General features: G+C 37.9%; 1 protein-coding gene across 25 annotated transcripts in view, besides 1 other annotated feature; it reads left to right on the top strand.

Moving 5' to 3' along the window:
* USP45 (ubiquitin specific peptidase 45) overlaps positions 1 to 25049 on the top strand; it is an 85522-nt gene that overhangs the window by 49316 nt on the left and 11157 nt on the right. For 8 of the 25 annotated variants that reach the window (XM_005267170.5, NM_001346023.3, NM_001346026.3 and 5 more), the window contains exons 11-15: positions 1768 to 1859; positions 3395 to 3451; positions 3784 to 3927; positions 22068 to 22734; positions 24869 to 24966. In XM_005267170.5, the coding sequence (XP_005267227.1) occupies positions 1768 to 1859; positions 3395 to 3451; positions 3784 to 3927; positions 22068 to 22734; positions 24869 to 24966 (1058 nt within the window). Of the gene's footprint in view, positions 432 to 1767; positions 1860 to 3394; positions 3452 to 3783; positions 3928 to 5715; positions 9573 to 11088; positions 11122 to 22067; positions 22735 to 24868; positions 24967 to 25049 lie in introns of those variants that run through there. The other 17 variants (NR_144344.3, NM_001346025.3, NM_001346024.3 and 14 more) reach the window with 8 other exon arrangements.
* Positions 11092 to 11811: an enhancer, noted in NCBI's record as "NANOG hESC enhancer chr6:99904596-99905315 (GRCh37/hg19 assembly coordinates)". NCBI's record gives its function as "activates a minimal SCP1, AML or CMV promoter by ChIP-STARR-seq in naive H9 embryonic stem cells {active_cell/tissue: H9 hESC(naive)}" and the evidence as "EXISTENCE:reporter gene assay evidence [ECO:0000049][PMID:30033119]".

The following is a 25049-nucleotide window of genomic DNA, read 5'->3' as shown; positions in this document are numbered from 1 at the left end:
TGACTCTTTGTTAAAACTTTTTTCTTTAAGAAAATATTAAAATTTTATTTTAGTTGGAAAAAGAACTGAACATTATGTGAACTAATCCACCAAAGTAGTGGCTTTAAAAGGAGGACGTAGTTGCTGCAGTGTCTGAAAAATACTTTAGTGGAACATAGAAAATGCTAGAATGTATTCATGTGAATTTATAAGAATAAAGCTATACCAAGTATACAGATTGACACCGATACCTTTATGTGAGGTCTTCTAAGGGAAACTTGAAAGGTTGTTGAAAGTAGCAACCACACTTGGAAGTTCATATGTATCATATTGTATCATTTGACATGTGTTTGGATCAATGGATTTATGGATATTTTTTAGATGTAACTAGACAAAATGTTTAAGTGCTCCAAAGACTCCTGCAAATAAACCGTTTATTGAAGAGAGTGCTGGTAAGTCAAGTGTAAGTGCACTTTGCCTACTCCTAGTGTTTGCTATTCATCCATAAAAATATGAGCCCCAAATGATGATTACCTAATCAAAGTTGGTTATTTATCATTATCAATACTATATAGGGTTTATATACCTTGCCCTAAATGTATATTCTGCATTGAGATACTAACTAATGTTAGCATGAAGTGATTTTTAGAAGACATTTAAAAATATTATTTGTATTTTTTTCTAACTTTTGTTTTTGTGGTTTTATAATGTATGTACTACAGGTCTATAATTTGCAAACATACACACATTGTTACTGTGCACTTTATTGTAATTAAGGGTTCAAGATTTTTAAAAAACGTAGCTGCTCAAATATGCCTTGTTCTTTTGTGTTGAGATAGTGCCATCTCGTGGATGTTTAGAATAACAGCCCCGTTTTTCTTCCCCCTCTTTCCAGTTTTGTACTATTTCCAATCCCTTTTAGTTTTTCTAGAAGAAATATCTTTATTATTATAGTATTTCTAAATACAATTTTAATTAATGTTTACTGATATATTCACATGTTTTCTGTCATTCAGTGCTCTAATATTTTAAATGATTTTGAATATTGTTTGTATGAAACTTGAAGATAGAGGCTCAAAAAAGAAGTTTGAAAGAGGGGTGAATAGGTTTGTTAATATACTTTTTCCTCCCATGGTTTATGATGGAAAGTTTCAAATTTTTATTAAAGTAGAGAGAATAGCATAATGCAGCCCTTTATATCTGTCACCCAACTTAAACTGCGTTCATGGTTTATGTTTAATCCATTTTCTCCCAACCTCAGGTTATTTTAAACTAAGTCATTGGCATTTTTTTAATTTATAAATATTTCCTGAGCAGAATAATTTTAACTTTTAAAAATATAACCATGTTCTTGAGTTCTTAATTACCTATGTTAATTCCTTACACTTGCCTTTTACGACTGTTATTTTCATAGCCGTGATCCTGGCATCCGTAGTCCTGATAGCATAATCTCCTTTTCCATTCTTCTGGGTACTTATTGGTTAGACATGAGGTTTTATAAGTTTTAATGGGAGTGGTTGAGGTGTGGTACGAATAGTGGTTGTTTTGTTTTACCTCTTAAGAATAGTTCATTATTTCTTGGAGACTAAAGTAGTTGATAGTCGTAAATCTGCTACAAAATTGTAAAGGAGAAAGACTTTAGAATGTTGTATGTATAGTAAAATGTATTATTAAATGTAGTACAGAATATCTTATTCAGATTACTTTTGAATAACCAGAAGATAGCCTATTATACTGCTAGATGGATGGTTGACATGTTTTTTGCATTAAAAAGTATGATTTTTACAGCATATGGAAAAGAAGGTGTGAAAATGAACTTCATAGATCGGATCTTTATTGGTGAATTAACTAGCACGGTCATGTGTGAAGAATGTGCAAATGTAGGTACTTTAGAATTCAATTCAGCATGGAATGGATTACAATCACATCATTTTTATTATATTTTCTTTCACATATAATCATTGGCAGTCATTTTTAAAATTTGACAGATGATTACATAATGATTCTTGAAAGTCTTTTTATACGCTACACTCCTAGAAAGTAAATGTGATAATTTATATATTTTTAAAAGTAAATGTATTTTTGTGTTATTTTTCCTCATGACACACCTATGAGGCAGTTTTAGCCTATCTTAATATACTGAAATTCATTAGCTATCTGTTTGAAGTGAGAGAAAAACTTCTGTGAAGAGAGTAACTGTGCTACGTTGCAGTGCCCTAAAATGTAATTCCAGGCTGGGTGCAGTGGCTCATGCCTATAATCCCAGTACTTTGGGAGGCCAAGGCCGGCGGATCACTTGAGGTCAGGAATTCAAGACTAGCCTGGCCAACATGGTGAAACCCCATCTCTACTAAAAAAATACAAAACAATTAGCCAGGCATGGTGGTGGGTGCCTATAGTCCCAATGACTCGGGAGGCTGAGGCAGGAGAATCACTTGAACCCAGCAGGCAGGGTTGCAGTGAGCCGAGATCGCACTACTGCACTATAGCCTGGGTGACAGAGCGAGACTCAGTTTCAAAAAAAAAAAACTAATTCCAATAGAAATAACTTAATGTATTAACATAATTTAGGGTGGTTATATCACCTTTGATTTAAAGTTTATATGACGTATTAAAGATTTTTGTGTAGACTTCACTCACTTTGAACTTAATAATTTTTATTTTGAATGCCATCTTTAACAACTTAAAGCATGTATGAATTTTTTGTAGATTTTCAATTGCTTGGCAAGGAATATTTCTGTAAGTGTATGACTTAGAGTATGATAGGTTTAAATTTCTGTTAGATTTTAATAGTAAAAGGAGCCTTTATTCATTTTCCTGTCCCAGATTATGAGTATTTTTCTGTGTTCTCTAGCCTTAAAGAAGCAGGATTATAAAATATATCTCATTCTAGCCTGTCACATTGAAACACAGAATGCATGACCATGATTATTTAAGTTTCTAGACTATTCAACACAGAAGTTGTTTTCTCTCTCACAAGATAGAGAGTATCTTTTAAAACAAAATTATCTTAAAGAATCTATAAAACACAGCCAAGCTCTCTGCTTTTTTTCATGGCTTTTTCTTAACATTTCATAGTTTACTTATGTTACAGCCCTAAGCTAACCAAAAATGTCTAGTCTCTTTAGTTAATCTGTTTTATTAAACAGTTTTTTTAAGTTATTTTAAATATTACAGGCCAGTCATATTGACAGTAATATAAAATTCAATTGGATCACCATTCACTGATGTTTGAGAATATCTTGTTTTGATTAACAATGTGCTGCAATACCCAATTAAATTGCTATTTTTTTCAGGAACAGTTTTTAACGTAAAATTTTAGGTTGCCCGGGAAGTTTGATTTCTTTGTACTTTACAAAACTGTATGTTTATATTAGAATTCTAACTGAAGTTTTCAATGTGTTTTCCTTTTAAGATCTCCACGGTGAAAGATCCATTCATTGATATTTCACTTCCTATAATAGAAGAAAGGGTAAGGAGAAGAAAACTAATGATGAAGCTTTGGTGAAGAACATTTAATCATTTATTTAAACATTTGTTGAGTATATTACCAGATATCTGAGAGTCATTATTTTTTATATATAATTGAGTTTGTATTCATAATTGAGTCTGATTTGGGGGTTTGTGTAAGTATGCATAAAGTATGATGGTTTTTATTCTCAAGGAATTTAAACTCTTAAACACTTTTTATTTTGATAATTTGTTAATTTTTTGTATTTCAAGTCAGTCAAAAATTTTAAGATGAGGACATCCAGAATTTATTTACTAAAGAGGTTTTGGTTTCTGTATGTGGCATTTACATAGGTTTCAAAACCTTTACTTTGGGGAAGAATGAATAAATATAGAAGTTTACGGGAGACAGATCATGATCGATACAGTGGCAATGTTACTATAGAAAATATTCATCAACCTAGAGCTGCCAAGAAGCATTCTTCATCTAAAGATAAGGTAAGACCATAAGCATCTGTTAGACGTCTGTTTTTTAACAGTTTATTAACAAAAGTTTCAAGCACATCTAAAAGTAGAGAACATAGTGTAATAAACTCTCATGTACCCATTTTTTGGCTTCATAATTATCAACTTGGCTACTTGTATACTAACTATATATATCCCACATCCTCCCCTTCCTCCCATCCCAGACTATTTTTGGATAATCCCAGATTATTTTTGAAATAAATCCCAAATATATCATATACTTCAATGTGTATCTCTACAAGAGAGTTTTTGTTTGTTTGTTTGTTTTTTAAGACGGAGTTTTGCTCTTGTTGCCTAGGCTGGAGTGCAATGGTGCAATCTCAGCTAACTGCAGCCTCCGCCTCCTGGGTTCAAGCGATTCTCCTGCCTCAGCCTCCTGAGTAGCTGGGATTACAGGCATGTGCCACCACGCCTGGCTAATTTTGTATTTTTAATAGAGACGGGGTTTCACCATGTTGGTCAGGCTGGTCTCGAACTCCTGACCTCAGGTGATCTGCCCGCCTCGGCCTCCCAAAGCGCTGGGATTACAGGAGTGAGCCACTGCGCCCAGCACTAACCGAGGGATACTCTTAAAAACCAAAAACCACAGTACCATTATCATATCAAAAATATTAATTCATTATAAATAAATAAGGATTCAGTCATTATTTAAATTTCTGCAGTTGTCTCATAAGTACTTAGTTTTTTATTTTGCTTTCTAAAGTTTGGATTTTAGGATTTAAAAGAGGTCTATGGATTGCAGTGCCTCTTTTTTTTTTTTTTTTTTTTTTTTTTTTGAGATGGAGTCTCGCTCTGTTGCCCAGGTGGCGCGATCTTGGCTCACTGCAACCTCTGCCTCCTGGGTTCAAGCGATTCTCCTGCCTCAGCCTCCTGAGTAGCTGGGAGTACAGGCGCATGTCACCACACCCGGCTAATTTTTGTATTTTTAGTAGAGACCAGGTTTCACCATGTTGGTCAGGCTGGTCTCGAAATCCTGACCTCATGATCCACCCGCCTCAGCCTCCCAATGATTGCCATGTCTCTTAAATCTCTTTTCATCTACAGATTCCCTCTCCCTCTTTTTCCTCCTTTGCAGTTTATTTGCTGAAGAAATCAGGTCCTTTTTTTCAGCAGCATGGTGTTAACAGATTCCTCTGTCACCTTTATTTCTCCTCTGAGACATTTAGATCTAGAGGCCTAGTTAGGTTCAGATTTAATTACTTATTTAATTTTTAGCAAGAAAACTTTTAGGTGGTGGCATGTATACTTCCATCAGCTAGATGCACATAATGTTTTATGTCTCTCTATGATATTACCAGTCACTGATAACCATTGTCTAGATCTATTATTTTACTAGGGACATACCTGGTTGTTGAATTATCCCATGAAAATGGAAAATTATTCCATGAAATGGTGATCATTGTAACCATTGTCTAGACCTATTATTTCACTAGGGACATACCTGGCTGTTGTATTATCCCATGAAAATGGAAAGAAATCAATCTGAACTTATACTTCAGCAAAAAAAACTTTTTTATATGAAATGATTTGTATTAATTTGGCAAATTAATATTAAATTTAACTTACTCTATTAATTAATTAATTAATTAATTATTGAGACAGAGTCTCACACTGTTGCCCAGCCAGGCTGGAGTGCAGTGGCACGATCTCAGCTCACTGCAGCCTCCCAGGTTCAAGTGATTCTTGTGCCTCAGCCTCCCAAGTAGCTGGGACTACATGTGCACACCACCATGCCCGGCTAATTTTTGTTATTTTTTGTAGAGATAGGGTTTTGTCATGTTGGCTGGGCTGGTCTCAAACTCCTGATGACCTCAAGTGATCTACCTGCCTTGGTCTCCCAAAGTGCTGGAATTGCAGGTGTGAGCCACAGCGCTGGGCCTGAATTTAACTTACTCTGTTAGAAGACTTATGTTAGAAGTCACAAGACTTCAGAAAGGACAACATGTTTTCTATAAATAAAAGCTAATTTTGCTTCATAAGATATATAGGACAGTTAAATTCAATTTGAGCATATGCTTTATTCTAATGGTATAAAACAAAGCATCTTACAGAGTTTGAAAAGGTTAAAGCATTAATTGTGTTGCTATTCCCCTAAAAAGCACTGGTTATTAAAATATAAATGTGTAGTGATTTTTTTTCTTTATTTTTATTTAGTTTAAAGAGTTAGGAGATTCTGTGGTACTGGCCAAAGTAGTTTTAATACATCCGCTATCCAAATGTATGAGAGAAATACTTTCCACACAGTATTGGTTAGGAACTGAGAATATGCATATATGATATATAGAAACTGTACCTCAAAGATCTGGACACCACATGGATATAACTTGTGCTTGTGCTGAACAAATTGGACCTACTCTTTATTGAAAATTTTTTTCATATAATATTTTTTGTTACTTTTTTATTGGACCTATTCTTTATTGAACGTTTTTTTCATGTAATAGAGTTACCTTTTTTTTGGTTTTGATGGGAAAAAGTGCAAGTTTGCATACGGTTCTAAAATTAGAAAAGTACAGTTCTAATAACATCTTTAAGGTACTATATTCAAGAAGCGAAAATTTAAATGACATAAATGTATTTCAGTCATTAGGAAGTTTACGTTTAGAAGTTATTTCCAATAGTTCAACTACAGAACCAGTTTAATCATGGAACCAGAATGATTCAGTAGTTAACTACTTTCAGTACTAGTTTTATAAAGATCAATAAAGTCTTGTTTTGCTGATTAGTGAAGCTGTTAATAAGAGTATAAAGATATTTGTGACAAACTTTATAGTATTTTTTAATCTCTTACAGTAATAGAAGCACCTTGCATCTTTTAAAATTATACTAGAGGCACAAGTACTGATTTGATCATAAGTTTTTGAGTTTTTTACCTTTTCTGTTTGCCAAATTATATGAGTTATCTCATTAAAACCACACAAAAACTTAATATGAAGAATGATAAAAATAATTACATAAAAATAGTGAAATTAGCTGAGAAAATCTTGCCCTCAAGTTGGAAGATGTTATCTCTGAGTACCTTGAAAAAGTGCATTTTCTTTTGCTTACTGATAACAGGCAAATAATCCAGTTAAATAAAGCACTGTAAAACTAGTGTGTGCAATTTCTGGCCTAAATACAGAAAAAATAGTAACAGGAGGCAGATACGTAAACAGAGTAAATAGCCATAGGCCTATATAAACATCCTTCTTGAACCAAAAACTAAGGTAAAATGAGCTGCAACAAATGGCTACCAAAAGATATTATGTGAAGTCTATTCCATAGGCTATTTTTCTTCCCTTCTTTCCCCTCCCCACAGCTTTTTAAAAAACCATCATGCTGATTGAATAATTGTAGAGACTGGAAAATCTCAAATTGATATCCTTATATAAAATCCTGCCTCAGCTCATTAGTTCAGAAAGAAATCCAAAAGTTCAGTTCTCTGAGTTGCTTCAACACATAAGTATATTAGTTTTATGAAAGATTTTTTTTTTATTTCATAAAACCTTAATACTTCTGCCAGAATCAGAAGTGCATTGTGCTCTGGTACAATTTACATGAACTTTGGTTCCCACCACCTGTTAGCTGCGCAGCGTTTTGCCAATTAAGCTCTTTGAGACTCGGCTCTTAAATTCAATTATAAGACCAGAATCTTGCTGTTTTTTCTATACATCCCATCTGTTGTTTATTTCTGTTTCTACTTTTCATGCACTTTTGGTTTTAATTGAATAATTTTTGTGTTCCATCTTATTTCCTCTGTTTTCTTTTTAGTTATTATAAAAGGTGTTATTATGGAATTGCTGAAACCTGTGTTGTGCCTCTCATCATTGGGGTTATATTCAGAAAATCATAGTCCTCTTATTTACATGGAAGAAATTAAGAAAATTTCAATCTTTCTATTATTTTACCAATCAGACCAGTCACCAAAAGAATACTGTGTAGTTACGGTATCTATCAATATACTTCAAAATAGATTTGAGGAAAACGCTGTATTCGAAGGGATCTTACCTGATTTTACCATTTTTCCTAGGTGCTAAATTGCTCAAGGTATTATACAGAGATATTTGAGAAAATGGCAACTTAACCTATGTAAATTTTTTTAAGGATAAAATTGAACAGGTACTTAGTAGTTTTAAAGTCCAAGTAAAACAGTTGCAAGGATATTTTTGTTTATCATGTGGTGTTGGCTCAATTTACTCTTGGGAATTTTGGAAACACCCAGAGAAGGTCATATATCTCCCCTTTGATCATTTTCATTTCTTATATTTTTAAACTTTAAAAGTGGGCTTTTCCCCTCTACTTAGTGTCTGTAACAAAAAGAGAAGCTCCTTGCATCTTTTAATAATAGAGGTACAAGTACTGATTTGATAGTAAATTGAGTTTTTCACTTCTCTTTGCTAAATTATACTACAGTTATCTCATTAAAACTGAACAAAGTTTAATATGAAGGATGATAAGCATCAGGTAAGGAAAAAAGGAGAAATAAAACCAAGATATGGTAATGTGAATACAAATGAAAGTTAGCACTGGTGGAAAGGCAACAGATCTGGCCTGAGTATTTTAGAAAGTTTAAAAAATAGTGAAAGGAAACAGTGAATAGAAATTTTTTATTGGAAAATTATGTGAGGCAAAAAAAGCACTACCCAAAAGGTCTGAGGGAAAAGATAGGGAATTATCATGTAGCCATCTGATTAATTTTTTGTTTCCCTAGACCCCACTCCTCTCCCTATTCCCCACCACCATTTGGTGCTCCACATTGCAGACAGGGCAATATTTCTAAAATACAAAAATAGGTCATCATATTCCTTGTAGCCCTCAGAATCAAGTCTGATACATGCAGCCAACAGGCATATGAAAAACTCAGCATCACTAATCATTAGGGAAATGCAAATCAAAAGCACAATGAGATACCATGTCACACCAGTCAGAATGCTATTATTAAAAAGTCAAAAAATAAATGCTGGCGAGGCTGCAGAGAAAAGGAATGCTTATACTCTGTTGGTAGAAGTATAAATTAGTTCAACCGTTGCAGAAAGCAGTGTGGCTATTCCTCAAAGAGCTAAAAACAGAACTACCATTTGACCCAGCATTTCCATTACTGGGTATATACCTGAAGGAATATAAATCATTCTACCATAAAAACACATGTAGGTGAATGTTCATTGCAGCACTATTCACAATAGCAAAGACATGGAATCAACCTAAATGCTGATCAGTGACAGTTTGGATAAGAAAATGTTGTACATATACACCATGGAATACTATGCAGCCATAAAAAAGAATAAGATTGTGCCTTTTACAGGAACGTGGATGGAGCTGGAGGCCATTGTCGTTAGCAAACTCACACAGGAACAGAAAACCAAATACCACAAGTTCTCACTTATAAGTGGGAGCTAAACATTGAGTACACTTGTACACAAGGGAACAAAGACACTGGGGCCTACTGGAGGGTGCACAGGGTGGGAGGAGGGAGAGGATCAGAAAAAATAATATTGGATACTAGGCTTAGTACCTGGGTGAAGAAATAATCTGTATAACAAACCCCTGTGACACAAGTTTACCTTTATAACAAACCTGCACATGTACCCTGAACCTAAAATAAAAGTTGAAAAAATAAATCTCATTGCTGTTCAAAACAAAAACAAGTCTGTGACTTATATGCATCTGGTTAATTTTTGTGTGTCCTTCTCACCTCCCCACACTTGTACTCTATTTTCTAGCTAGACTTCCCTAATTTCTTGTTCTTTGTCTTACCTGTGGGCCTTTGAACTGTCTCTTCTGCCACGAACAGTCCCATTCTCCTCCTGTAGCCTCTGCTCAATTTCTGCATATTTCTCTGATCCACTCAATTCTGGATTAGTTCTTTTCCTCTGGCTTTCTATAGCACTGTATTTCTCCTATCATAACATAAGTTGTACCTAACATTTGAGTTCTTAATTATGTTATGATCACTGTTTTCAGTTATTTACACCAATTATATTGAGCCAAGAGGTGGATTAAATAACATGCCTAAGATCATACAAGTAGTCTGGCAGAAATGGGGATTCAGACAGGTTAAACAAGGACCATGTTCTTAACCACGTATACTGCCCCCTGCTGACTTGAACTTATGTCTCACCATACTTTTATTGGGATGGATTGCAGGATCTGCAAACAGGAACTGAGTCTGTCCTTCTTGCCACTATGTCTCAGGTGCCTAGTTCAGTGCTTGTACATGGATGGTGTTTAGGGAGACCACTGAGCTCATTCTCATGATTGCTGCCAATCGTAATAGCTGATACTGGCTGGGTGCGGTGGCTCACGCCTGTAATCCCAGCACTTTGGGAGGCCGAGGCAGGCAGATCCCAAGGTCCGGAGATGGAGACCATCCTGGCTAACACAGTGAAACCTTATCTCTACTAAAAATGCAAAAAATTAGCCGGTCATGGTGGCACACGCCTGTAATCCAGCTCCTTGGGAGGTTGAGGCAGGAGAATCTCTGGAAACCAGGAGGTGGAGGTTGCAGTGAGCCGAGATTGCGCTACTGCACTCCAGCCTGGGCAACAGAGCGAGACTCCATCTCAAAATAATACTAATAGTAATAATAGCTGATACTTACGCTGCTTACTGTGGGCTACGCACTGCTCTGTGGGCTTTTCTATAGTCTCAAAAAATAAGGATGGGAAGGGGTACTTTTATATTTCACTAGGAGTAGGAGGATAAAAGGGATAGATAGAATAGTCTCATTCAAAAGTTCCTAAGACCAGCTGATGATGAGAATCACCTGTTTATTAAAACGAATTCTCATACCCAACCTCAGACATGATTAATGGGAATTTCTTAGTGGTAATGCCTCGGATATGTATCTTTTAAAACAACAAGCCCTCTTAGGTGAGTCTGATAATCACCTGAATTTGGAAACTATTCAATCAGAATTAGATTAATTGGATTCTGGACACAGCTATTTTTATTAGTTATATGATCTTGGACAAGTTACTAAAAACCTGTATGGGTCTATATTTTCCATTGACCATTAATTTTCTGTTGGTACATAATATTTGTACATATTTATGAGGTATATGTGATATTTTGATACATGCATAGAATGTATCATGATCAAGTCAGGTATCGGGGAACCTGCCCCAATATTCACATAGGTTCTTTTCTATTTTCCTTAAGCATCGGCCAGCTTGAGAAATAAAGGGACAGAGTACAAAAGAGAGAAATTCTAAAGCTGGGCGTCCAGGGGAGACATCACATGTCGGTAGGTTACGTGATGCCCCACAAGCCGCAAAAACCAGCAAGTTTTTATTAGGGATTTTCAAAAGGGGAGGGAGTGTGCAAATAGGTGTGGGTCACAGACATCAAGTACTTTACAAGGTAATAGAATATCACAAGGCAAGTGGAGGCAGGGCAAGATCACAGGACCACAGGACAGAGGTGAAATTAAAATTGCTAATGAAGTTTTGGGCACCATTGTCATTGATAACATCTTATCAGGAGACAGGGTTTTGAGAGCACCCGGTCTGACCAAAATTATTAGGTGGGTATTTTCCCTTCCTAATGAGCCTGGGAGCACTATGGGAGACTGGGGTCTATTTCATCCCTGCAGTCTCGACCATAAGAGACGGCTACGCCCAGGGGGGCCATTCATAGGCCTACCCCCAGGCACGCATTCTCTTTCTCAGGTATGTTCCTTGCTGAGAAAAAGAATTCAGCGATATTTCTCCCATTTGCTTTTGAAAGAAGAGAAATATGGCTCTGTTCCGCCAGCTCACCAGAGGTCAGAGTTTAAGGTTATCTCTCCTATTCCCTGAACAATTGCTGTTATTCTGTTCTTTTTTCAAGGTGCCCAGATTTCATATTGCTCAAACACACATGCTGTACAATTTGTGCAGTTAACGCAATTATCACATGGTCCTGAGGCAACATACATCCTCCTCAGCTGACAGGATTAAGAGATTAAAGTAAAGACAGGCATAGGAAATCACAAGGGTATTGATTGGGGAAGTGATAAGTGTCCATGCAATCTTTATGATTTATGTTTAGAGATTGCAGTAAAGACAGGCATAAGAAATTATAAAAGTATTAATTTGGGGAACTAATAAATGTCCATGAAATCTTCACAATCCACGTTCTTCTGCCATGGCTTCAGCCGGTCCCTCCATTTGGGGTCCCTGACTTCCCACAGTAGTCAGGGTATTTGGGATATCAGTTACCTTAAGCATTTATCATTTCTTTGCATTGAGAACATTTCAGATTTTCTCGTAGCTACCTTGAAATATGTAATCTATGTTGTTAACTGTAGTTACCATACTGTTCTATGGAACATTAGAACTATTCCTTCTAACTCTGTCTTTGTACTCACTAACATACCTCTCTTTTTAGCTTCTCCACTACAACCCCACTCACTCTTTTCTAAGCCTCTGATATCTATCATTCTACTCTCTACTTTCATGAGATCTTTTTTTTTTTTTTTTTTTTTTTCCGAGACAGAGTCTCGCTCTGTTGCCCAGGCTGGAGTACAGTGGCGCGATCTTGGCTCACTGCAAGCTCTGCCTCCCAGGTTCATGCCATTCTCCTGCCTCAGCCTCCCAAGTAGCTGGGACTACAGGTGCCCGCCATCAAGCCCGGTTAATTTTTGTATTTTCAGTAGAGACAGGGTTTCACCTTGTTAGCCAGGATGGTCTCCATCTCCTGACCTCATGATCCACCCGCCTCAGTCTCCCAAAGTGCTGGGATTACAGGTGTGAGCCACTGCGCCTGCCCCAACTTTTTTTTTTTTTTTTTTTTTTTTTTTTTAGCTCTCACATAAGAGTGAGAACATGGGATATTTGCCTTTCTGTGCCTAGCTTGCCTTACTTAACATAATGACCTCCAGTTCAACCCATGTTGATGCAAATGACAGGATTTCATTCTTTTTAGGGCTGAAGAGTATTCCATTATGGATATATACTACATTTTCTTTATCCATTCATCTACTGATGGACACTTAGATTGATTCCATTTCTTGGCTATTGTGAATAGCACTGCAGTAAACATGGGGGTGCAAGTATCCTTTTGATACACTGGTTTTCTTTTCTTTGGATAAATGTCTAGTAGTGGGATTGCTGGATCTTATGGTAGTTATATTTTAGTTTGTTGTTGTTGTTGTTGTTGTTGTTGTTGTTTGAGACAGAGTCTCGCTCCATCGCCCAGGCTGAAGTGCTGTGGCACAGTCTCAGCTCACTGCAACCTCTTCCTCCTGGGTTCAAGTGATTCTCATGCCTCAGCCTCCATCTCCCAAGTAGCTGGGACTACAGGCATGTGCCACCACGCCCAGCTAATTTTTGTATTTTTATTAGAGACAGGGTTTCACCATGTTCCCCAGGCTGGTGGTCTCAAACTCCTGACCTCAAGTGATCTACCCACCTCAGTCTCCCAAAGTGCTGGGATTACAGGTGTGAGCCATCGCACCCAGCCCTATTTTAGTTTTTTGAGAAATCTCCATACTGTTGTGTTTTGTTTTTTTGTTTTTTGTTTTTTTTTTTTTGAGATGGAGTGTCGCTCTGTCACCCGGGCTGGAGTGCAGTGGTGTGATCTTGGCTCACTGCAACCTCCACCTCCCAGGTTCAAGTGATTCTCCTGCCTCAGCCTCCCGAGTAGCTGGCATTACAGGCACCTGCCATCACACCGGGCTTATTTTTTTGTATTTTTGGTAGAGACAGGGTTTTCACCATGTTGGCCAGGATGGTCTTGAACTCTTGACCTCGTGATCCACCTGCCTTGGCCTCCCAAAGTGCTGAGCTTACAGGCATAAGCCACTGCACCCAGCCATCTCCATACTGTTTTCTATGATGGCTGTACTAATTACATTCCCACCAACCGTGTTTCAGACTCCTTTTCTCCACATTCTTGAAGGCATCTTATTATTTGTCTTTTTTGATAATAACCATTCAACTGGGGTAAAATGATATTTCATTGTGGTTTTAATCTGCATTTCCTGGATGATTAGGGATGTTGAGCATTTTTTTCATATACCTCTTGGCCATTTGGATGTCTTCTTTTGGGAAATGTCTAACATTAGTTCCTTATAGGATGAAGAGTTTGCAGATATTTTCTCCCATTCAACAGGAGGTCTCTTCATTCTGTTGATTGTTTCCTTTTCTGTGCAGAAGCTTTTTACAGTGTAGTCCCATTTGTTTTTGTTGCCTGTGCTTTTGAGGTCTCCATAAAATCATTACCTAGACTAATGTCCTGAGTGTTTCTCCTATGTTTTCTTCTTGTGGTTTTATATTCTAGATTTTACATTTAAGTCTTTTATCTATCTTGAGTTGATTTTTGTATATGGTGAGAGATAACATTCTAGTTGTATTCTTCTGCATATGGATAACCAGTTTTCCCAGTACCATTTGTTGAAGAGGGCGTCCTTCCCCCAGTGTTTGTTCTTGGCCCCTTTGTCAGAAATCAGTTGGCTGTAAGTATGTGGATTTCTTTATTCTGTTGCACTGGTCTATGTGTCTGTTTTTATACCATGACCATACTGTTTTGGTTACTGTAGTCTTGTACATTTTGAAGTCAGGTAGTGTGAGGCTTCCAGCTTTCTCCCTTTTGCCCAGGATTGCTTTAGTGATTCTGGCTCTTTTTTGGTTCTATACAAATTTTTTTCTTTTTTTAGATGGAGTTTCACTCTTGTTGCCAAGGCCAGAGTGCCACTGTCAGAGGTGCAATGTCAGCTCACTGCAGTCTCCGCCTCCCAGGTTCAGGCGATTCTTCTGCCTCAGCCTCCCAAGTAGCTGGGATTACAGGTGCCTGCTACCATGCCTGGCTAATTTTTTGTATTTTTAGTAGAGATGGGGTTTCACCGTGCTGGCCAGACTGGTCTCAAATTCTTGGCCTTAGTTGATCTATCTACCTCAGCCTCCCAAAGTGCTGGGATTACAGGCATGAGCCACTGTACCCAGCCAGGTTCCATACATATTTTAGGATTGTTTTTTCTTTTTATGTGAAAAACGTCATTGGAATTTTGATAGGAATTCATGGAGTCTATAGATTGCTTTGGGTAGCATAGTCATTTTAATATTTTCCTGATCCATGAGCATGGGATGCTTTTTCGTTTGTGTCTCCTTCAGTTTCTTTCATCAGTATTTTATAGTTTTCCTTGTGGAGGTCTTTCACCTCCTCAGTTAAATTATTCCTAGGTGGAATTTTTTTTTCTTTTGTAGCCATTGTAAACAGGATTGCTTTGTTGATTTTTTTTTCCAGCTACTTTGTTGTTAGTGTATAGAAACGCTACTGATTTTCATATGTTGATTTTGCATTCAACAACTTTACTGAATTTGTTTATCAGTTCTAAGAGTTTTTTGTTGAAGTCTTTAGGTTATCCTATATGTAAGATTATGTCGTCTGTGAAGAGGAACAATTTGACTTCTTTTCCAATTTGGATGCCTTTTATGTTTTTTTTTTTTTCTTTTTTAAGTTCTAGGGTACATGTGCACAACGTGCAGGTTTGTTACATATGTATACATGTGCCATGTTGGTGTGCTGCACCCATTGACTCGCCATTTACATTAGGTATATCTCCTAATGCTTTCCCTCCCTGCTCCCGCCACCCCACAACAGGCTCCTGTGTGTGATCTTCCCCTTCCTGTGTCCAAGTGTTCTCATTGTTCAATTCCCACCTATGAGTGAGAACATGCAGTGTTTGGTTTTTTGTTCTTGTGATAGTTTGCTGATAATGATGGTTTCCAGCTTCATCCATGTCCCTACAAAGGACATGAACTCATCCTTTTTTATGGCTGCATAGTATTCCATGGTGTATATGTGCCACATTTTCTTAATCCAGTCTATCATTGATGGACATTTGGGTTGGTTCCAAGTCTTTGCTATTGTGAATAGTGCCACAATAAACATACGTGTGCATGTGTCTTTAAGGCAGCATGATTTATAATCTTTTGGGTATATACCCAGTAATGGGATGGCTGGGTTAAATGGCATTTCTAGTTCTAGATCCTTGAGGAATAGCCACGCTGTCTTCCACAATAGTTGAACTAGTTTACAGTCCCACCAACAGTGTAAAAGTGTTCCTATTTCTCCACATCCTCTCCAGCACCTGTTGTTTCCTGACTTTTTAATGATCACCATTCTAACTGGTGTGAGATGGTATCTCACTGTGGTTTTGATTTGCTTTTCTCTGATGGCCAGTGATGATGAGCATTTTTTTCATGTGTCTGTTAGCTGCATAAATGTCTTCTTTTGAGAAGTGTCTGTTCATATCCTTTGCCCACTTTTTGATGGGGTTGTTTTTTTCTTGTAAATTTGTTTGAGTTCTTTGTAGATTCTGGATATTTGCCCTTTGTCACATGAGTAGGTTGCAAAATTTTCTCCCATTCTGTAGGTTGCCTGTTCACTCTGATGGTAGTTTCTTTTCATGTGCAGAAGCTCCTTAGTTTAATTAGATCCCATTTGTCAATTTTGGCTTTTGTTGCCTTTGCTTTTGGTGTTTTAGACATGAAGTCCTTGCCCATGCCTATGTCCTGAATGGTATTGCCTAGGTTTTCTTCTAGGGTTTTTATGGTTTTAGCTCTAACATGTAAGTCTTTGATCCATCTTGAATTAATTTTTGTATAAGGTGTAAGGAAGGGATCCATTTTCAGCTTTCTACATATGGCTAGCCAGTTTTCCCAGCACCATTTATTAAATAGGGAATCCTTTCCCCATTGCTTGTTTTTCTCAGGTTTGTCAAAGATCAGATGGTTGTAGATGTGTGGTATTATTTCTGCGGGTTCTGTTCTGTTCCATTGGTCTATATCTCTGTTTTGGTACCAGTACTATGCTGTTTTGGTTACTATAGCCTTGTAGTATAGTTTGAAGTCAGGTAGCCTGATGCCTCCAGCTTTGTTCTTTTGGCTTAGGATTGTCTTGGAAATGCAGGCTCTTTTTGGTCCCATATGAACTTTAAAGTAGTTTTTTCCAATTCTGTGAAGAAAGTCATTGGTAGCTTGATGGGGATGGCATTGAATCTATAAATTACCTTGGGCAGTATGGCCATTTTCACAATATTGATTCTGCCTATCCATGAGTATGGAAGGTTCTTCCATTTGTTTCTGTTCTCTTTTATTTTGTTGAGCAGTGGTTTGTAGTTCTCCTTGAAGAGGTCCTTCACATCCCTTGTAAGTTGGATTCCTAGGTATTTTATTCTCTTTGAAGCAATTGTGAATGGGAGTTCACTCATGATTTGGCTCTCTGTCTATTATTGGTGTATAAGAATGCTTGTGATTTTTGCACGTTGATTTTGTATCCTGAGACTTTGCTGAAGTTGCTTATCAGCTTAAGGAGATTTTGGGTTGAGATGATGGGGTTTTCTAAATATACAGTCATGTCATCTGCAAACAGGGACAATTTGCCTTCCTCTTTTCCTAATTGAATACCCTTTATTTATTTCTCCTGCCTGATTGCCCTGGCCAGAACTTCCAACACTTGTTAAATAGGAGTGGTGAGAGAGGGCATCCCTGTCTTGTGCCAGTTTTCAAAGGGAATGCTTCCAGTTTTTGCCCATTCAGTATGATATTGGCTGTGGGTTTGTCATAGATAGCTCTTATTATTTTGAGATATGTCCCATCAGTACCTAATTTATTGAGAGTTTTTAGCATTAAGGGCTGTTGAATTTTGTCAAAGGCCTTTTCTGCATCTTTTGAGATAATCATGTGGTTTTTGTCTTTGGTTCTGTTTATATGATGGATTACGTTTATTGATTTGCATATGTTGAACCAGCCTTGCATCCCAGGGATGAAGCCCACTTGATCATGGTGGATAAGCTTTTTGATGTGCTGCTGGATTTGGTTTGCCAGTATTTTATTGAGGATTTTTGCATCGATGTTCATCAGGGATATTGGTCTAAAATTCTCTTTTTTTGTTGTGTCTCTGCCAGGTTTTGGTATCAAGATGATGCTGGCCTCATAAAATGAGTTAGGAAAGATTCCCTCTTTTTCTATTGATTAGAATAGTTTCAGAAGGAATGGTACCAGCTCCTCCTTGTACCTCTGGTAGAATTCGGCTGTGAATCCGTCTGGTCCTCAACTTTTTTTGATTGGTAGGCTATTAATTATTGCCTCTATTTCAGAGCCTGTTATTGATCTATTCAGGGATTCAAGTTCTTCCTGGTTTAGTCTTGGGAGGGTGTATGTGTGGAGGAATTTATCCATTTCTTCTAGGTTTTCTAGTTTATTTGCGTAGAGGTGTTTATAGTATTCTCTGATGGTAGTTTGTATTTCTGTGGGATCAGTGGTGATATCCCCTTTATCACTTTTTATTGTGCCTATTTGATTCTTCTCTCTTTTCTTCTTTATTTGTCTTGCTAGTGGTTTATCGATTTTGTTGATCTTTTCAAAAAACCAGCTCCTGGATTCATTGATTTTTTGAAGGGTTTTTTTTTGTGTCTCTATCTCTTTCAGTTCTGCTCTGATCTTAGTTATTTCTTGCCTTCTGCTAGCTTTTGAATTTGTTTGCTCTTGCTTCTCTAGTTCTTTTAATTGTGATGTTAGGGTGTCAATTTTAGATCTTTCCTGCTTTCTCTTGTGGGCATTTAGTACTATAAATTTCCCTCTACACACTGCTTTAAATGTGTCCCATAGATTCTGGTATGTTGTGTCTTTGTTCTCATTGGTTTCAAAGAGCATCTTTATTTCTGCCTTCATTTCGTTATGTAACCAGTAGTCATTCAGGAGCAGGTTTTTCAGTTTCCATGTAGTTGAGCGGTTTTGAGTGAGTTTCTTAATCCTGAGTTCTAGTTTGATTGCACTGTGGTCTGAGAGACAATTTGTTATAATTTCTGTTCTTTTACATTTGCTGAGGAGTGCTTGACTTCCAACTGTGTGGTCAATTTTGGAATAAGTGTGATGTGCTGAGAAGAATGTATATTCTGTTGATTTGGGGTGGAGAGTTCTGTTCATGTCTACTAGGTCCACTTGATGCAGAGCTGAGTTCAATTCCTGGCTATCCTTGTTAACTTTCTGTCTCATTGATCTGTCTAATGTTGACAGTGGGGTGTTAAAGTCTCCCATTATTATTGTGTGGGAGTCTAAGTTTCTTTGTAGGTCTCTGGGGACTTGCTTTATGAATGTGGGTGCTCCTGTATTGGGTGCTCCTGTATTGGGTGCATATATATTTAGGATAGTTAGCTCTTCTTGTTGAATTGATCCCTTTACCATTATGTAATGACCTTCTTTCTCTTTTGATCTTTGTTGTTTTAAAGCCTGTTTTATCAGAGACTAAGATTGCAACCCCTGCCTTTTTTTGTTTTCCATTTGCTTGGTAGATCTTCCTCCATCCTTTTATTTTGAGTCTATGTGTGTCTCTGCACGTGAGATGGGTCTCCTGAATACAGCACACTGATGGGTCTTGACTCTTTATGCAGTTTTTCAGTCTGTATCTTTTAATTGGAGCATTTAGCCCATGTACATTTAAGGTTAATATTGTTATGTGTGAATCTGATCCTGTCATGATGTTAGCTGGTTATTTTGCTCGTTAGTTGATGCCGTTTCTTCCTAGCATTGATGGTCTTTACAGTTTGGCATGTTTTTGCTGTGGCTAGTACCAGTTGTTCCTTTCCATGTTTAGTGCTTCCTTCAGGAGCTCTTGTAGGGCAGGTCTGGTGGTGACACAATCTCTCAGCATTTGCTTGTCTGTAAAGGATTTTATTTCTCGTTCACTTATGAAGCTTAGTTTGGCTGGATATGAAATTCTGGGGTGAAAATTCTTTTAAGAATGTTGACTATTGGCCCCCAATCTCTTCTGGCTTGTAGAGTTTCTGCCAAGAGATCTGCTGTTAGTCTGATGGGTTTCCCTTTGCGGGTAACCTGACCTTTCTCTCTGGCTGCCCTTAACATTTTTTCCTTCATTTCAACTTTGGTGAATCTGACAATTATGTGTTTTGGAGTTGCTCTTCTCAAGGAGTATCTTTGTGGCGTTTTCTGTATTTGCTGAATTTGCATGTTGGCCTGCCTTGCTATGTTGGGGAAGTTCTCCTGGATAATATCCTGCAGAGTGTTTTCCATTCTCCCTGTCACTTTCAGGTACAGCAATCAGACATAGATTTGGTCTTTTCACATATTCCCATATTTCTTGGAGGCTTTGTTTCTTTTTATTCTTTTTTCTCTAAACTTCTCTTCTTGCTTCATTTCATTCATTTGATCTTCAATCACTGATATCCTTTCTTGCAGTTGATCAAATCGGCTACTGAAGCTTGTGCATTTGTCACGTAGTTCTCCTGTCATGGTTTTCAGCTCAATCAGGTCATTTAAGGACTTCTCTACACTGATTATTCTAGTCAGCCCTTTGTCTAATCTTTTTTCAAGGTTTTTAACTTATTTGCATTGGGTTCGAACTTCCTCATTTAGCTAGGAGAAGTTTGATCATCTGAAGCCTTCTTCTCTCAACTCGTCAAAGTCATTCTCCGTCCAGCTTTGTTCCGTTGCTGGCGAGGAGCTGTGTTCCTTTGGAAGGGGAGAGGCGCTCTGATTTTTAGAATTTTCAGCTTTTCTGCTCTGTTTTTTCCCCATCTTTGTGGTTTTATCTACCTTTGGTCTTTGATGATGGTGACTGACAGATGGGGTTTTGGTGTGGATGTCCTGTTTGTTAGTTTTCCTTCTAACAGTCAGGACCCTCAGCTGCAGGTCTGTTGGAGTTTGCTGGAGGTCCACTCCAGGCCCTGTTTGCCTGGATATCAGCAGCGGAGGCTGCAGAACAGCGAATATTGCTGAATAGCAAATGTTGCTACCTGATCGTTCCTCTGGAAGCTTTGTCTCAGATGGGTACCCGGCCGTGTGAGGTGTCAGTGTGCCCCTACTGGGGGGTGCCTCCCAGTTAGGCTACTCGGAGGTCAGGGACCCACTTGAGGAGGCAGTCTGTCCGTTCTCAGATCTCAAACTCTGTGCTGCGAGAACCACTACTCTCTTCAAAGCTGTCAGACAGGGACATTCAAGTCTGCAGGGGTTTCTGCTGCCTTTTGTTGGGCTGTGCCCTGACCCCAGAGGTGGAGTCTACAGAGGCAGGCAGGCCTCCTTGAGCTGTGGTGGGCTCCACCCAGTTCGAGCTTCCTGGCCGGCCGCTTTGTTTACCAACTGTTAGTATTATATGTATAATAGGAAAGTTTGTTTCCAAAAAAAAGTACTATATAAATTCAGCGGAGTGGAACTTGTTGGCTAATGTTATTTTTCCTGATTTTGCAGATAAAAAAAATTGAGGCAAGACACTTTTTATAACTTACTCTTCTTCCCCTGAATAACTAAAACTGAGTATCAATTACTCATGATAGTCTTTTCTTTATTTTTTGTCTTGACCCTTCAGCCAAGGTATAGGAAAAGAAAAATGTACTTCAAGCCATCAGCTGTGTGGAAACTTTAGTGAAACATTTCAGGTAGCTTAAAATTTTTAATTAGTTGATTCCCCCCTTCCCAAACTTAGGTTATTTTTTTCCCGTAATTTTCTTCCAGATCTATGGCAACCAAGCAACACTGTGTCATAATAGTTTATAGTTTACTTTTGTTACTTTTTAATTTGTTTAAAAAACAGATACATTTTCAGTGTTTAAAAATGAACAAGTATGGAAAGGCTTATACAGTAACTGAAAAGTCTCCTTTGGGAAGCCAAGGTGGGAGGATTGCTTGAGGTCAGGAGTTCAAGACCAGCCTAAGCAACATGGCGAGACTTTATCTCTACAAAAAATTAAAAAATTAGCCAGGTATGGTGGTACATACTTGTAGTAGTAACTACATGGGAGGCTGAGGTGGGAGGATCACTTGAGTCCGAGAGTTTGAGGCTGCGGTGAGCTGTGATTGTGCCACTGCACTCTAGCCTGGGCAACAGAGCAAGATGCTGTCTCTAAAAGAGATTTTTCTTTTAAAGAAAAAAGTCTCCCTCATAGCCCTGTTCTACAAAAGTCCTATTTCCTTCCCCACAAATAGCCTCTGTTACACTGTTGTTAGTTTCTTGTGTGAAGATTTACTTTTAAAATAGAACTATTTTTTAGTATATCTTCTAGTGATCTTAGTTTCAGTAGGCTTAGGAAATGGATCTGAGAGAAATGGTATTTAATAACTATGATATGTTTAAGAATTATTGGCATTTATTTTCAATGAGGTTACAAGACTCTTTTCTTTGAAAACACTGTCAACTTACAGAGTCAACTAATTCATGACCGAAAATGTATTAGAAAATTGTCATCTGGAGAAACTGTCACATACCAGAAAAATGAAAACCTTGAAATGAATGGGGATTCTTTAATGTTTGCCAGCCTCATGAATTCTGAGTCACGTCTGAATGAAAGCCCTACTGATGACAGTGAAAAAGAAGCCAGCCATTCTGAAAGCAATGTTGATGCTGACAGTGAGCCTTCAGAATCTGAAAGTGCTTCAAAGCAGACTGGGCTGTTCAGATCCAGTAGTGGATCCGGTGTGCAGCCAGATGGACCCCTTTACCCTCTGTCAGCAGGTAAACTGCTGTACACCAAGGAGACTGACAGTGGTGATAAGGAAATGGCAGAAGCTATTTCTGAACTTCGTTTGAGCAGCACTGTAACTGGAGATCAAGATTTTGACAGAGAAAATCAGCCACTAAATATTTCAAATAATTTATGTTTTTTAGAGGGGAAGCATTTGAGGTCTTATAGTCCCCAAAATGCTTTTCAGACCCTTTCTCAGAGCTATATAACTACTTCTAAAGAATGTTCAATTCAGTCCTGTCTCTACCAGTTTACATCTATGGAATTACTAATGGGGAATAATAAGCTTCTATGTGAGAATTGTACTAAAAACAAACAGAAGTACCAAGAAGAAACCAGTTTTGCAGGTAATTATTTTTTTAATTACATAATTATTGATCTCCTGATAGTGTCTAGTGAGTTACAAATTTCACTGAGAATTTTACTGAGAATCTTGTCCCTATACTTGTGTTACTTAGGCAGAGATTGTTTCATTCATATTTGTACCTGAGCGCTTACAATACTGGGCAGAACAGATTTTCAAGTTTTTTTATTTAAATAAAGAGCAGGAAGTATACAACTCTGCCTTGAAAATGCAAACCCATATAATCTTATTTGAGGGAACTACCTATCTGAAATCTATCCAGAAGAAATATCCCTACAACTTTTTTTTTTTTTTTTGGAGATGGAGTCTCACTCTGTTGCCCAGGCTGGAGTACAGTGGCGCGATCTCGGCTCACTGCAACCTCCACCTCCTGAGTTCAAGCGATTATTCTGCCTCAGCCTCCTGAGTAGCTGAGATTACAGGCGCCCACCACCATGCCCAGCTAATTTTTGTATTTTTAGTAGAGATGGGGTTTCACCATCTTGGCCAGGCTGGTCTTGAATGCCTGACCTCATGATCCACCCGCCTTGGCCTCCCAAAGTGCTGAGATTACAGGTGTGAGCCACCATGCCTGGCCTCCCTAAAACTTCTAATTGTATCACTGGTAAGATAAATGATAAAGCTAATGTGTTTCACAGATCCTATCAATCTGTTGTAAACTCAACGTAAGATAAATTTTGAAGATTTTAAATAGTAGCATGTCATAAAGCTAGCGCTATAATTACCATGATTAGTTGGTCAGAGAGAAGTGGAGAAAGGGGGAAAATAAGAAATTTTCAGTTCATCTTTATCCTTGAGTAAATGGAAAGAATACTCTGATTCTTAGTGACTACTTGTTTTAAAATGTAGGCTTTATTATTCAGGTACGGTGAGGCTAAAAGATCAGGAGATAATTGCCACTGAAGAAATAGTGTGTTATTCATAGTTCCCAAGAAGTGGGGGCCCACCATGCTGCACAGGACCACACAGGGAAGCACCAGCGTCAGTCAGGAGGTAGGGGAGTGAGGGGAAAACATGGGCAGGAGCCTTTAGTGTGATTTCTAAAGGAAGAAATGGGTAAGGCAGGCTAAGCAGGCTTAGGATTGGCTAGTTTGAATAATATTAGTGGGCTCTGGGATATAGGAGCTGTCTCTAGTTATCAGGTGCCTGGTCCTAGAGTGATTACAGCAAGTGGATAGTGTCCCAGAGTGTAAGAGCCCAGTGAAGGAGGTTGTTGGGGTATGCGCTCTGGGCTCTGGATTGGTTTGCATGTGACAGGCATGCATATGTAAGTTGTTTACTATCTCTAGGAATTAGCCCTGGGAGGGGTTGTCCCTCCAATGTTAACCAGACCCTAGATGTCAAAGCATCAGAATAAAGACATACTTAATACACTAGTAATAAAGAAATGGGAGAAGGAAGAAATACCTATATGCAATTGGCAATGTTCAAATACTAACATAAATCTTAGGAATTTAGAAATTGGGGCTGGGCACAGTGGCTTACACCTGTAATCCCAACACTTTGGGAGGCCAAGGCATGAGGATCGCTTGTAGCCAGGAGTTCAAGACCAGTCTGAGGAACATAGTGAGATCCCATGTCTACAAAAAACGTTTTAAAAATTAGCCAGGTGGGGTGGCATGCACCTGTAGTCCCAGCTACTTGGGAGGCTGAGGTGGGAGGATTGCTTGTGCCTGGGAGGTCAAGGCTACAGTGAGCCATGACCACCTCACTGCACTTCAGCCTGGGTAACAGCAATCTCAAAAGAAAAAAAAAAAATTAGAAATCTAGAAATCTTTTTAAACCCAAATTCTTCAACTACACGTGCTTCTGGTGATTTTTGGCTGGAGGGCATTGACAGAAATTAATTCTAGTCCATCTGCTTTCTACCTTCCAAAATTTTGTTTCGTGTTACCTCTCCTATTCTTTGTTCTTATTAACTGTGTGCCTTAAAAAAAATTCCTTTACTTTCATTTTAGCAGAGTTTTAGGAAGGAGTAAAGACTGTCCTTTCATCAGAAGTCCAATTTCTTTAACATTTTTAAAAATGTGGTATGATACTTCTGTATAAATTTTTATTATATGGTAGATAATGTATAAAATGGAATTTTATAAATAAATTTATTGTATTTTATGTAGAAAAGAAAGTAGAAGGAGTTTATACTAATGCCAGGAAGCAATTGCTCATTTCTGCTGTTCCAGCTGTCCTAATTCTCCACCTGAAAAGATTTCATCAGGTAAGTTTCTTCAGTAGCACCATAATTTTCATCATGTGTTTTACAGAGCATTAAGTCCTATAGAATATTGTCAAGAATTAGAC

This window comes from Homo sapiens, chromosome 6, assembly GCF_000001405.40.
Source record: "Homo sapiens chromosome 6, GRCh38.p14 Primary Assembly".
Classification (NCBI taxonomy): domain Eukaryota; kingdom Metazoa; phylum Chordata; class Mammalia; order Primates; family Hominidae; genus Homo; species Homo sapiens.
The sequence above is the reverse complement of the archived record's forward strand: the minus strand, read 5'-3'. Positions and strand labels throughout refer to the sequence as shown.